Source organism: Homo sapiens, chromosome 7 (genome assembly GCF_000001405.40).
Source record: "Homo sapiens chromosome 7, GRCh38.p14 Primary Assembly".
In the NCBI taxonomy this organism is placed as follows: Eukaryota; Metazoa; Chordata; class Mammalia; order Primates; family Hominidae; genus Homo; species Homo sapiens.
This window is the reverse complement of record NC_000007.14, coordinates 107,318,601-107,331,199: the sequence shown is the minus strand read 5'-3', so window position 1 is coordinate 107,331,199 and position 12,599 is coordinate 107,318,601. Positions and strand designations below refer to the sequence as shown.

The 12,599-nt window shown below is 34.7% G+C and overlaps 1 protein-coding gene across 10 annotated transcripts in view; it reads left to right on the top strand.

Annotated features, from left to right (window-relative positions):
* COG5 (component of oligomeric golgi complex 5) overlaps positions 1-12,599 on the top strand; it is a 362,549-nt gene that overhangs the window by 232,721 nt on the left and 117,229 nt on the right. For 9 of the 10 annotated variants that reach the window (NM_001379516.1, NM_001379511.1, NM_001379512.1 and 6 more), the window contains one exon: positions 6,679-6,760. The exons of the other annotated variant lie outside the window; for it this stretch is intronic. In NM_001379516.1, coding sequence (NP_001366445.1) covers positions 6,679-6,760 — 82 coding nt within the window. The remainder of the gene's footprint in view (positions 1-6,678; positions 6,761-12,599) is intronic. 10 annotated transcript variants of the gene reach the window in all.

Below are 12,599 nucleotides of genomic sequence, written 5' to 3'. Positions count from 1 at the left end.
CCAGCCCAGAATGATTTTCTTATAGCACAGCTTGATCATGGTATTATCTTATTAAAACTCTCAAGCGGTTCACTATTATATCTATGATGAATGTAGACATACCTTGATCTGATCCTTGTCTTACTTTCCATTCTTATGTCCTCCCTCTTTGCTGAATGCTCACTTTTTATTCAGAGGATAGAAAACACTTTTTCACATCTCTGTGTACCATTAGCTGGGTGTGGTGGCACGCACCTGTAGTCCCAACTACTCAGGAGGCCTAGACAGGAGAATCGCTTGAACCCGGAAGGCGGAGGTTACAGTGAGCTGAGATCGCACCACTGCACTCCAGCCTGGGCAACAGGGTGAGACTCTGTCTCAAAAAAAAAAAAAAAAAGGGATCTAGCTCAAGAGATCCTGATTCTTCATAACAAAATAAATCCCATGAAAATATTATTTCTACTATTTACATGAGGAAATCAAAAGCTCAGAAAGATGAAGTCACCTTTCTAGAGTCACAGCACAAGTGGTAGACCTTGGATTTAAGTCAAGGTTATTTGACTTCAAAACCCATACTCTTTTCACTATACTCAGCACAATAAAGTTAGCATGAAAATTTGGACCTTATTCAATGTGCAGTAAGAAGCTGTCAAATATATTTGAGCCAGGAAATCCATGGTCAATTTGGTGTTATAAAGAGAAAAACTAAAGAATATATGCTTTGAAAGCTGTTTTGTTTAAGTATTAATTATTCTAAGTTTCTCTGTATACATTTAATTATGTTGAAATCAATGGCTAAAGCAAAGGCCAAGCCATAATTCTAAATAATAGATTTATCTTTAAAAAGTTCTGACATTTTTGTATATTTTACTTTTGTTCTATTTATATGTAATAATATGTGTCTGTTTAGTTTTATTATCAGCTTATGTGGCCTCAGCCAAAAGTCCAAATTTCATTGTTTCTTAAAGTTAGAATTATACTGTTTGTATTTATAACCAAGAAACAAGGTCAGAAAGATACTTTAAATTACAAATGTTTCCCTGAATTGATCTGATAACGTGATTCCATTTAACTTAATGTAAGACATACTGGGAGTCAGTTATAAATAGATCATTGTCAAATATCCTTCCAGTTCAAATCTACCTGAATTATTCAAAATGTAGTTCAATTAATTTTGTTTCAAAATGTTTAGAAGCAAATATGTAACAGGCTGACTTGACTTGAAACAAGCACAGTGATTTTTATATAGCTTCATATTTTCTTTATGCAGGAAATTATATTTATGTGATGTAGTTTTGACAATAAAATTTTGTTTTTGTTTTCTTAAAGACAGGGTCTTATTCTGTCATCCAGGCTGGATTGCAGTGATGTGATCCTGGCTCACTGCAGCCTTGAACTCCTGAGCTAAAGCAGTCTCCTGCCTCAGCCTCCAAAGTAGCTGAGACCACAGGCACATGCTCCCACACTCAGCTAATTTTTTAAATTTTTGTGTAGAAACGGGGGGGGTCTCGCTGTTGCCAAGGATGGTCTTGAACTCCTGGCCTCAAGCGATCCTCCCACCTTGGCCTCCCAAAGTGTTGGAATTACAGGTATGAGCCACTGCACATGGCAATAACATTTCTGACTACCGTTTGATAATTAAAATTAACATTCTATCTTTTTATATTTTGGTAGGAGATATAGATTTACTATTATATAGTATAGTATATGTACATATACTATTATATATGTGTATATATAGGGATACATCATACATACACAGCATATACATATCTGTATAAATAGATGGGTATATAGATATAGAAAATCATTGCTTTAACATACTATCTTACCCCAAATCCACCTTTTTATTATTATCTTCTATACTTTCCCATTCCCTCTGAATCTACTTTATATCTCTTTATGTCTCCCAAGGACTTTTCACATCCTTTCTTGTTCCAACAGCTATGTGTCCTTCTTAGTACATCTCTTTAGTAGCTGCCTCTAGCTGTTAATTTAGACCAGTCCTTGGGATGGATTGATTGATTTATTCAACAATTGTATTAGGATATCAGGGTTCTTCAGAGAAACAAAAGCAACAGGAAATGTTATATATTTGTATGTAGAAAATAAGGAATTGGCCAATGGGATTATGGACACAAGTCTGTAGATCTGTAGATCTGTAGTTGGCAAGCTGGAAAGCCAATGATGTAGTCCCAGTCCAAAGGCCTGCAGGCTCAGACCTAGAAAAAGCTGGCGTTTCAGTGGTGGCGTGTGCCTGTAGTCCCAGGTACTCAGGAAGCTGAGGCAGGAGAATCGCTTGAGCCCGGGAGGCGGAGGTTGCAATGAGCCAAGATCACACCACTGCACTCCAGCCTGGGCGACAGAGCGAGACTCCGTCTTAAAATAATAATAATAAAAACATAATAAAATAATAAAAATAAAATAAATTGTTTTCTGTTTCCAAAAAGTTTCCTTAAAAATATTTCTACTATTGTTTTAACTAGTGAAATTTCTTAAGAGTTTTATGGGGGAAAGAATCTCAGGCTATGATAATTGTACTAAAATGTGTATTAGAATAACTTTTTTAAATAAGGGAAGTAACTAATTCATTTTCCCTGTCCCCCATCTCTTGGCAATTACCATTATTCTTTCTGCTTCTAAGAGTTTGACTATTTTAGCTACTTCATATAAGTAGAATCTTGCAGCATTTATCTTTTTGTGACTGGCTTGTTTCACTTAGTGTAACATCTTCAAGGTTCATTCATATTGTAGCATATGATAGGATTTCTTTCTTTTTTAAGACTGAAGAGTGTTCTATTGTAAGTACAGTCATACACCACATAATGACATTTCAGTCAATGACAGGCTGCACATACAACTGTGGCCTCATAAGACTGTAGTACTGTATATTTGCTGTGTCTTTTTGATGTTTAGATACACAAATGTACTATTGTGTTACAATTACCTACAGTATTCATTACAATGACATGTACAAGTTTGTAGCCCAGGAGTGATAGGCTATCACATAAAGCCTGCTTGTGTAGTAGGCTATCCCTTCTAGGTTTGTGTAAGTACATTCTGTGATTTTTGCACAATGACAGAATTGCCTGAGGCATTTCTCAGGCACATTCCTATCATTCAGAAATGCATGACTGAATGAATATACTACATTTTCTTTATCCATTCATTCTTTGATAGACATTTGGGTTGTTATCATCTCTTGGCTTTTATGAATAATGCTGCAGTAAACATGAGTATTCAAATAAATCTTCAAGATCCTGCTTTCAGCTCTTTTACTTATATACCCAGAAGTGGAATTGCTGGATCATATGGTAATTTTGAGCAACCTCCCTAATGTTTTCCATAGTGGCTACACTATTTTACATTTCTACCAACAGTGCACAAAATTTCCAGTTTCTCCACATCCTCGCTGAGACTTGTTATTTACCAGTTTTTTATAGTAGCCATCCTAATGGATGTGAGATGACATCTCAGTATGGTTTTGATTTGCATTTCCATGATAATTAGTGATATTGAGCATCTTTTCATGTGCTTGTTGGCCAGCCATTTATTTATTTGCTTTGGAGAAGTGTCTACTCAAGTCCTTTGCCTGTTTTTTAATCATGGTATTTGTTTTTTTAATTGTTGAATTGTCAGAGCCATTTATATATTCTGAATATTAACTCCTTATTAGATATATGGTTAGCAAATGTTTTCCCCCATTCTGTAGGTTGCCTTTTTACTCTATTGATTGTTTCCTTTCCTGCACAGAAAATCTCAAGTTAGGTATAGTCCAGTTTGTCTATTTCTGCTTTTGTTGCCTGTGTTCATGGTGTCCTATACAAGAATTATTGCCAAATCCAGTGTCACAGAGCTTTTCTCCTATGTTTTTTTTCTAGGAGTTATAATTTCAGGTCTTAGGTTTAGGTCCTTAATCCATTTTGAGTTAGTTTTTATACATGGTATGAGGTAAAGTTTCAACTTTATTCTTTTGCATGCGTATATCCAGTTTTCCCAGCAGCATTTATTGAAGAGACTGTCCTTTTCCTATTGTGTAGCCTTGGCACCCTTGTTCAAGATTGTATGACTGTATACTTGATCGTTTATTTTTTTGTCTCTCTACTCCATTGGTCCCTATGTCTGTCTTTATGCTGGTACCATACTGTTTTGATTCCTGAAGCTTGGTAATATGGTTTTTTCCATTTGGATGGGTTTTATTTGGGTTTTTAGAGATAGGATCTCCCTTTGTTGCCCAGGCTGGCTGCAAACACCTAGGCTCAAGCAATTCTCCCACCTCATCCTCCAAGTAGCTGAGACTACAGGTGTGTTCCACTGCACCTGGCTCTGTAATATGTCTTGAAGTCAGGAAGTCTGAGGCCTCTAGCTTTGTTTGTTTGTTTTTTCCCTCAAGAAAGATATTTGGATATTTGGGATCCCTGGAGATTCTCTATTAATTTTAGTATTTTTTTATTTCTGCAAAAATGCCATTGAGATTTTGAGAATCTGCAGATCATTTGGGGAGTATGGACATTTTAACATTATTAGGTCTTCCAACCCATAACACAGTATGCTTTCCATTTACTTGTGTCTTCTTTAATTTCTTTCAACCATATCGTGTAGTTTTCAGTATACAAGTTTTTTACCTTCTTGAATAAGTTTATTCTTAAGTATTCTTTTGGATACTGTTATAAAAGTAGGGTAGTTTTCTTCATTTTTTTCTGGCTATTTCATTGTTAGTTTGTAGAAACACACTAATTTTTATGTGTTGATTTTGTAGGCTACAACTTGGCTGAATTCAGTTATTATTTTAACAGGCCTTTTTGAGGAGTCTAGGATTATCTACATACAAGATCATATCATCTAGAAACAGATATAATTTTACTTCTTCCATTCCAATTTGGATGCTTTTTATTTCTTTTTCTTGCTTGGTCCTTCTGGCAGGACTCCTAGTACTATATTGTATAGAAGTGGTAAGAGTGGGCATCCTGGCCTTGTTCCTGATCTTAGAGGGAAAGCTTTCTGTTTCGCACCATGGAGTAGGATGTTAGCTGCAGATTTTTCTTATGTGGCCCTTATTATGTTGATGTAATTTCCTTCGAGTCCTAGTTTGTTGAGTGTTTTTATCATCAGATGGTGTTAAATTTTGTTTAATGCTTTTTCTGCATTAATTGAGACGACCATGTGGTTTTAGTCCTTCATTCTGTTAATGTGGTATATTATACTTCCTTAACATGATGAAAAGCATCTACTTTAAACTAAGATATGCAAGACATAATACATAAAATCTTAGGAATCTGAATGTATTTTCTGATCGTTGCATAAGAAATCAACAATGATTTGATTTGCCTTGTTTATGATTAACAGTTCTTGAGTAAATTTACAACCATAAGACTTATTTTAAAAAGGAACAATTAATGAAAATGGAAGTGTACACAGGTATAAAAGTCACAAATCAGTATTTTTCATTGGTCATTTTGTTCACTTGTCCAAAATTATAATTTTATTTTTGGGACTGTAGCAATATTTTAACATTAGAGATATTTTATTTTATTTTTACTCTTACTTTTTTGTTTGTTTGTTTGCTTCTTGAGACTGAGTTTTGGTCTGTTGCCCAGGCTGAAGTGCAGTGGCGCAATCTTGGCTCACTGCAACCTCGGCCTCCTGGGTTTAAGTGATTCTCCTGCCTCAGTCTCCCTAGTAGCTGGGATTACAGGCATGCGCCACCACACCTGGCTAATTTTTGTATTTTTAGTAGAGACAGGGTTTCACCATGTTGGCAAGGCTGGTCTCAAACTCCTGACCTCTGGTAATCCATCCGCCTTGGCCTCCCAAAGTGCTGGGATTACAGTTGTGAGCCACTGTGCCCAGTCTTAAAATATTACTTTGAACCATATGAAGTTGGCATTTCTGGCTGCAAAAATAGTAGAATATTGGCAGTATTATATTGTATACCACACATGTGGATGTATCTTAAAGTATTTGGCAAAATTTCTAAGAGTGTGATTCTATTTTAACAGTGTTAAAGTTCTTTGTCTTTCTTTAACAAATGATACTTTAATTAATATTTGTCTTTTCTTTATAGTGCTTACTTTTTAAAACATATATTCAAAGTTGAAAGTATCATGCTAAACTGAGTAGTAGCAATTCCTTTGAGTTTTTTTAAAACTATATCTAGGCTTCAGCCATTCTCTTTTGTAATAGTGAATTATTTCTTGTTAGTTATCCTAACAAGCATGTTGTAAGCAGGCTTTTGTCTATCATTTTGTTATAGTCACACAAATTGCCCTCCGTATTTAAAAAATGATGATGAGAGTAATAATTTATGTAATAATAATAGCTAACATTCATTGAGTTTATTGTATTTCAGGCATTGTCCCAAGACTTTTATTAATTTGTTTAATCCTCATAATTATCCTGCAATGTTATCACCATTTTTCATATGAAGAACAAAGGCCCTGAATGGCTAAGCAACATGCCCAAGGTTACACCAGCTATTATGTGGCAGAGAAGAAGAATGACTGACTACTTGAACATAAGACATAATTTGAATCATCTTTGTATTTCCATTTAATTAATAATTCTATTGTTTGATGGTTAGATGTCTAAAATTTTTATTTAAATTTTAAATAACTTTTCAAGGTTACGTGTTACCCATTATGATTTCTTAAAATAAATGCATTTTTTTATTTTTAAAAAATTTTTGTTTGTTCTTCACAGGATGGACAACCGGAAATTTTCTACACATTTTGGAATTCAGTTACTCAGGCACTTTCTTCTCAATTTCATATGGCAACAAACTGTAAGTTTACTACTTATTTTGAAAATTAATTTCAAAGTTTTAAGTTATTTTATCATTTGATGTCAAGAAGCTTTGCTGTATTGGTTTACAAAACATTTTTATTGCTATTTTAAAATTCCTGGCTAATTGTTATTTTGTCTAGATGTTTAATCTGGAATCTCCTAGACATATATTCAGTAAACAAAATTTTTACACATTTTAGTAATTAATATTTAGAATAAAATTCTCCAGAAAAATAAGTCAATATCTTATTATTCAGACATCAGAAGAACTCTGTCTGAATTTTTCCTACGTAGAGTGTGTAAAGCAGTTAATGTTGAAAAATTTAGTTCATGCTTTTAGAATTAGTGTATAACTAAAAGATATAAAAATACAGAGGCTTTGCAAATTTTTTATTGTTAAAAATGAAGATTTAATGAATAAACAGGTGAAATATCTACATCGTGAATTAAAAGTTGGTCATTCAAATATGTTCCACAAAACTTTTTCTTAATTTCTTTATATCATGAAATAATGGACTGGTAGATCTATACAATGAAATATGCAAACCAGCTAATATCTTACGCGTGTGTTTGTCTAAATACTTTAGGTAAGAGCATATAATGTACCTAGGCCTTTAAAAAGTGTTAAGAGTTCATTTCTATTTAAATTTTTATTCACAAGCATTTACTAGAAGGACTTACTGTATGCTAAATATTATTTAGCCACTGCCCTCCCTACACTGACCAGAGTTAAATAAACTAGTCTGCTTGTCTCTCTACTTATTTCTAATGAAGTATGTAGTAAGACAGTAACCACAAAGAGGTCTTCATTCATTTGTAGCTAAACAGAACTTAACCTAATGGGATATTAGGATCCATTTACTCCATTTAGTTGTAGTGTTTCGTTTTCTTTTGTTTTGTTTTTTTCCAGACGGAGTCTTGCTCTGTCACCCAGGCTGGAGTGCAGTCACGTGATCTCGGCTCACTGCTGCCTCTGCCTTCTGGGTTCAAGCAATTCTCCTGCCTCAGCCTCCCTAGTAGCTGGGACTACAGGAATGTACCACCACTCCTGGCTAATTTTTTTGTATTTTTAGTAAAGACGGGGTTTCACCATGTTGGTCAGGCTGGTCTCGAACTCCTGACCTCAAATGATCGGCCCGCCTTGGCTTCCCAAAGTGCTGGGATTACAGGCATGAGCCACTGCGCCCGGCCTGTTCCGTTTACTTGTGAATCACACTGCTCATTTTGGGAGGGAATAAATATCGTATATTTCCTTGGTTTTTGTTTTTGCTCAGCTTTATTGAGATATAATTTATATGCAGTAAAAGTCACCAATTTTAAACATAAAATTCTATGATGTTTGACAAATGTTTACATTCATATAACCATCATTACAATTAAGATATAGAACATTTCCATCATCCCCAAATTTTCTTTATGTACTTTTGCAGTTTATCTGCTACCTTCACTCCCTGGGTCCTGGCAACAACTAGAATCATATAGTATGCATTATTTGATCATCAGCATAATTAAGATTCTTCCATGTTGTTGCATATATCGGTAGTCCATTTCCTTTTAAATTGTTGAATTGTATTCCATTGTGTAGATATATACCACAATTTTTTATCCATTCTGCAGTTGAGAAACAAGTTGGATTATTATGAATAAAGTTACAGTTATTTACATACATATATCTCTTTTGTGGACATATGTGTTCCTTCTCTTGTGCAAATATGTAAGGGTGGAATTGCTCAATTATTTGGTAAATGTTGTTTAACTTTACAGAAACTGCAGTGCTATAATCCAAAATGGATATACCATTTTGCATTTCCATCAACAATGTGTGATAGTTCCAGTTGCTCCACATTTTTGCCAATCCATGATATTGTCAGTTATTTTAATTTTAGTCATTCCAGTGGGTGTGTACTAGTTTTTTTTATTGGGGTTTTAGCTTCCACTAGACTAATGATGCTTTCTTAGTTCATTTGGGCTGCTACAACAAAATACCACAGACTGGGCAACTTATGCACAACAGAAATTTATTTCTCACAGTTCTGGAGAAATGGCAAGTCCAACATCAAGGTACTGGAAGATTTAGTATTTGGTGAGGGCCTGCTTCCTGGTTCATAGACTGTGCCTTCTGACTGTGTCCTCACGTGTTAGAAAAGGATAGGGAAGCTATCTGAGCCTCTTTTGTAAGTGCACTAATCTCATTCATGAGGATTTTCTCCCCCTGACCTCATCACCTCTGAGAGAATCCACTTCCTAACCCCATCACATTTGGTGAGTAGGTTTCAACATATGAATTTGGGGAGATAAAACCATTCAGACCATAGCAGATGTTGACCACATTTTCACAGGCTTAGATGCCATCTGTATAACTTTTTTGGTTTTGTGTTTGTCTAAAGGATTGTCCTCTGTTTTTATTGTATTTCTTGTTCTCTTAATGAGTCCCAAGGAATCTTTGCATATTCTGGGTTCAGAGTACTTCCTTAGTTGCATGTTTTGAAGATATTTTCCCCTAGAATGTGGCTTGGCTTTTTGTTTTCTTAACAGTGCCTTCCAAAGGACAAAAGTTTTAAATCCTGATCAAATTCAGTTTATCAAAGTTTTAAATAATTTGTACTTTTTTTTGACCTAAAAATTATTGCCTAATCCAAAGTCAGAAGCATTTCCTCTTACATTTTATTTTAGAAGTTTTACTAGGTTTGAGTTAATTTTCGTGTATGTTATGAGTTATCTCAACATTCATTTCTTTTAGAACATATGGCTCCAAAACATTATTCTCTGCCTATTGACTTCTTGGAAACTTTTGTTGAAAATCATTTGGTTATCTATAAGTAAGACTATTTCTGGACTCTGTTTGGTTCCATTTTTCTGAATGTCTATGTTTACATCAGTACAACAGGGTTTTCGTCACAGTAGTCAAAGTCCTCCTATTTTGTTCTTCTTTATCAAAGTAATTTTAGTTACCATAGGTCTTTTGCATTTCCATATGTGTTTCAGAATTTTGTTCCTCCAATAATTGACTCCTGGGATTTTGATGAGGATTGCATTGAATCTACAGATCAATATGTGATGAATTCACAGTTTAATATTGAGTCTTCTGATCCACATCCTGTATTATTCTATTTATTTAGGACTTTTACATTTTTTCTTATAAATGCTTTATAGTTTTTAGCATGCAGTTCTAACAAATCTTTTCTTAAATTTATCACTGTTTTATATATTTTGATGCTATTCTATATGTTATTTTTTCATTTTACTTTATAATTGTTGATTTTTAAAATAGAGAAATACAATTGATACTTGTATTTTGACTTTGTGTCCTCTGACTTTGCCAGTCTTACTTATTCTAGTAGTTATTGGTGATTTCTTACAAATATGAAAGTCTCAGTTTTTGGAATAAAAGAAAGCAAATGTAAAACTCACTTATGGAAGCCCTTTGAAACCCTGATGTCTAAATTGGATAAAGAGGTGCCTTCTGATGGTAATCATTACTGGGAGGTGGGGGTGTAGAAGAAGTCCTGTTTTAACTTTGTTTGGACTCAGTTTACTGGGAAGGAAAGGATGTCTGTACTTAACCAATCATGGTTTTCTGTTCACTGAGCTTCCAAAAACATCAGTGTGAAGTTTTTCTTAAGCATTATCATCTCCTTTCTCTCAGAGAGTCCTGTAATTATGGAGAGGGTCTCATTTTACAGTGTGACAGAGGGGACCTATATTTATACCTTTAATTATACCTCCCTCTGATCTCTCTTTCCGTACTTATCCTTTAAGATACTAGACAATGAAATAGATCTTCTTTTACTGACCAACCTAACCTGCAATTGCAACCAGTTTTAGACTTGGACAACCAGAAAGACACCCTTGATATGCATCATGACTTAGGCTGGTTGGGGTTTCCTTGTGCTGATTACTGAATCTTGAGATCTCTTAGTGTTGCTGATGTTTAGATAAAAATTCAATCGAACAAAACAAGATTATATTTCCTACCATTCACACTAAGAGGGGAACCAGGAGCATTGCCAGTTTTCCATGGATGTTTGAATGATCTATGGCATTTTGCATAGAAAAGATATTCTAAAAGGAAAATTGTCATTGCAGAGTTTTATGTAAACAGATATAAATCCCTGTTGTTGCTATTAAGCCATCGCTCACATAGTCTAACCTTTAGTTACACACTTTAAAAATATTTAAAATAGTATAAGTAATTATTCCAGCATAAGGTAGGTAAAATCAACATCTGTCTTCTACTATTTATATAACAAAACTTCACAGAGTCACCAATTTTTCAGTGTTGACACAATTTTTTATCTTGTCTATGCCGTCTTGCCACCTCATTCTCCTTATCTCTCATTTGTCTAGCCCTAAGCTTGCCTGCATGGGTCTTTTCCAACATGTCACACTCTACAACATCAGAGTGTTCACTCTTTTCTAAAGAATTATACTTTTCAGTTTTTTTTGTTGTTGTTGTTTTGTTTTTTGAAATGGAGTCTCACTGTGTTTCCCAGGCTGAAGTGCAGTGACTATTCACAGGCACAGTCATTGCACGCTACAGCCTTGAACTCCTGGCCTCCAGTGACCCTGCTGCCATGGCCTTCTGAGTAGCTGGGCCTACAAGAGCACTACCACACCCAGCAGGTGATGTTTTTTGAAACTGGAGAAAACCAGTTTCTTATCACTCAGTCACTCAGCATAATAAATTAGAGATTAGTTGTGTTGGATCCTAAATCACGTAAATTTTGAAAAGAAAGAAAAAAGGTCATTTAATGGACTTTTACTTCCCTACATGGAAAGGTAACTGCTACTTTAGATGTTCTCCCATTATAAACTAGAACAGTGAGTAAAATTTGTGAAACACCTGTTTTCAGACATTGGGCAACAGGCAATATAGAACTGTGATCTCAGATAAACCAAAACAAATTGAACGCTAAAATCACCGCAGCTTTCTACCTGGCAATTTCCAGACAGCTGCACACACAAAAAAATGGGAATCAATATATAGTCTGCCATTCTTACTGATTCCAGAACTCTTTAAAGGATTACAACAAAATCTGTCACTTAACAATATAGTATCACATATTCAGCATCCAATTAAAATGAGTGGACATGAGAAGAAGCAGGAAAATGAGACCATAACCAGTAGAAACAGAGAAGCTGAAGTATCAGTAGTATAAGCAGACTAGGAATTTTAAAACACTTCTTATAAATGTTATAAATGTGCTCAAATATTTTAAAAATAACATATAATGAGATAAATGGACAGTATCAAGAAGAATCAAATGGAACCTCCACATATGAAAAATATAGTATCTGAAATTAAATGCAGATTTAACCCTGAGAAGAAAAAAAAAAAAATCAGTGAACTAGAAGATACAGCCATAGACATAATTCAGAATGAAGGACCAAGATTTAAAAACAAACTTAAAAAATTATTAGAGTCTTAGGACCCATGGGACACATCAAGCAATCTAACATATGTGTAATTGGAGTTTCAGAGCCAAGAGAGGAAGGGAAAAAGAAAAAAGTTAGAAAAAAATAGTTGTTGAAAATATGTGAAACATTTTTGTTATGGACTAAATGTTTATGTGCCACCTCTTCCAATTCATACACTGAAGCCCTAACCCCCAGTGTAACTGTATTTGGAGATAGGGCGTTTATGGAAGCAATTAAGTTTAAATGAGGTCACAAGGGTGGGCCCTGATCTTATAGGATTACTGTCCTTATAAGAAGTGACGCGAGAGAGCTTACTCACTCTCTATGTACACAGGCACAAGGAAAGGTCATGAGAGCACTTAGCAAGAGGGAGGCCATCAGCAAGTCAGGAAGAGAAACTCAGCCCTACCAGAACCTTG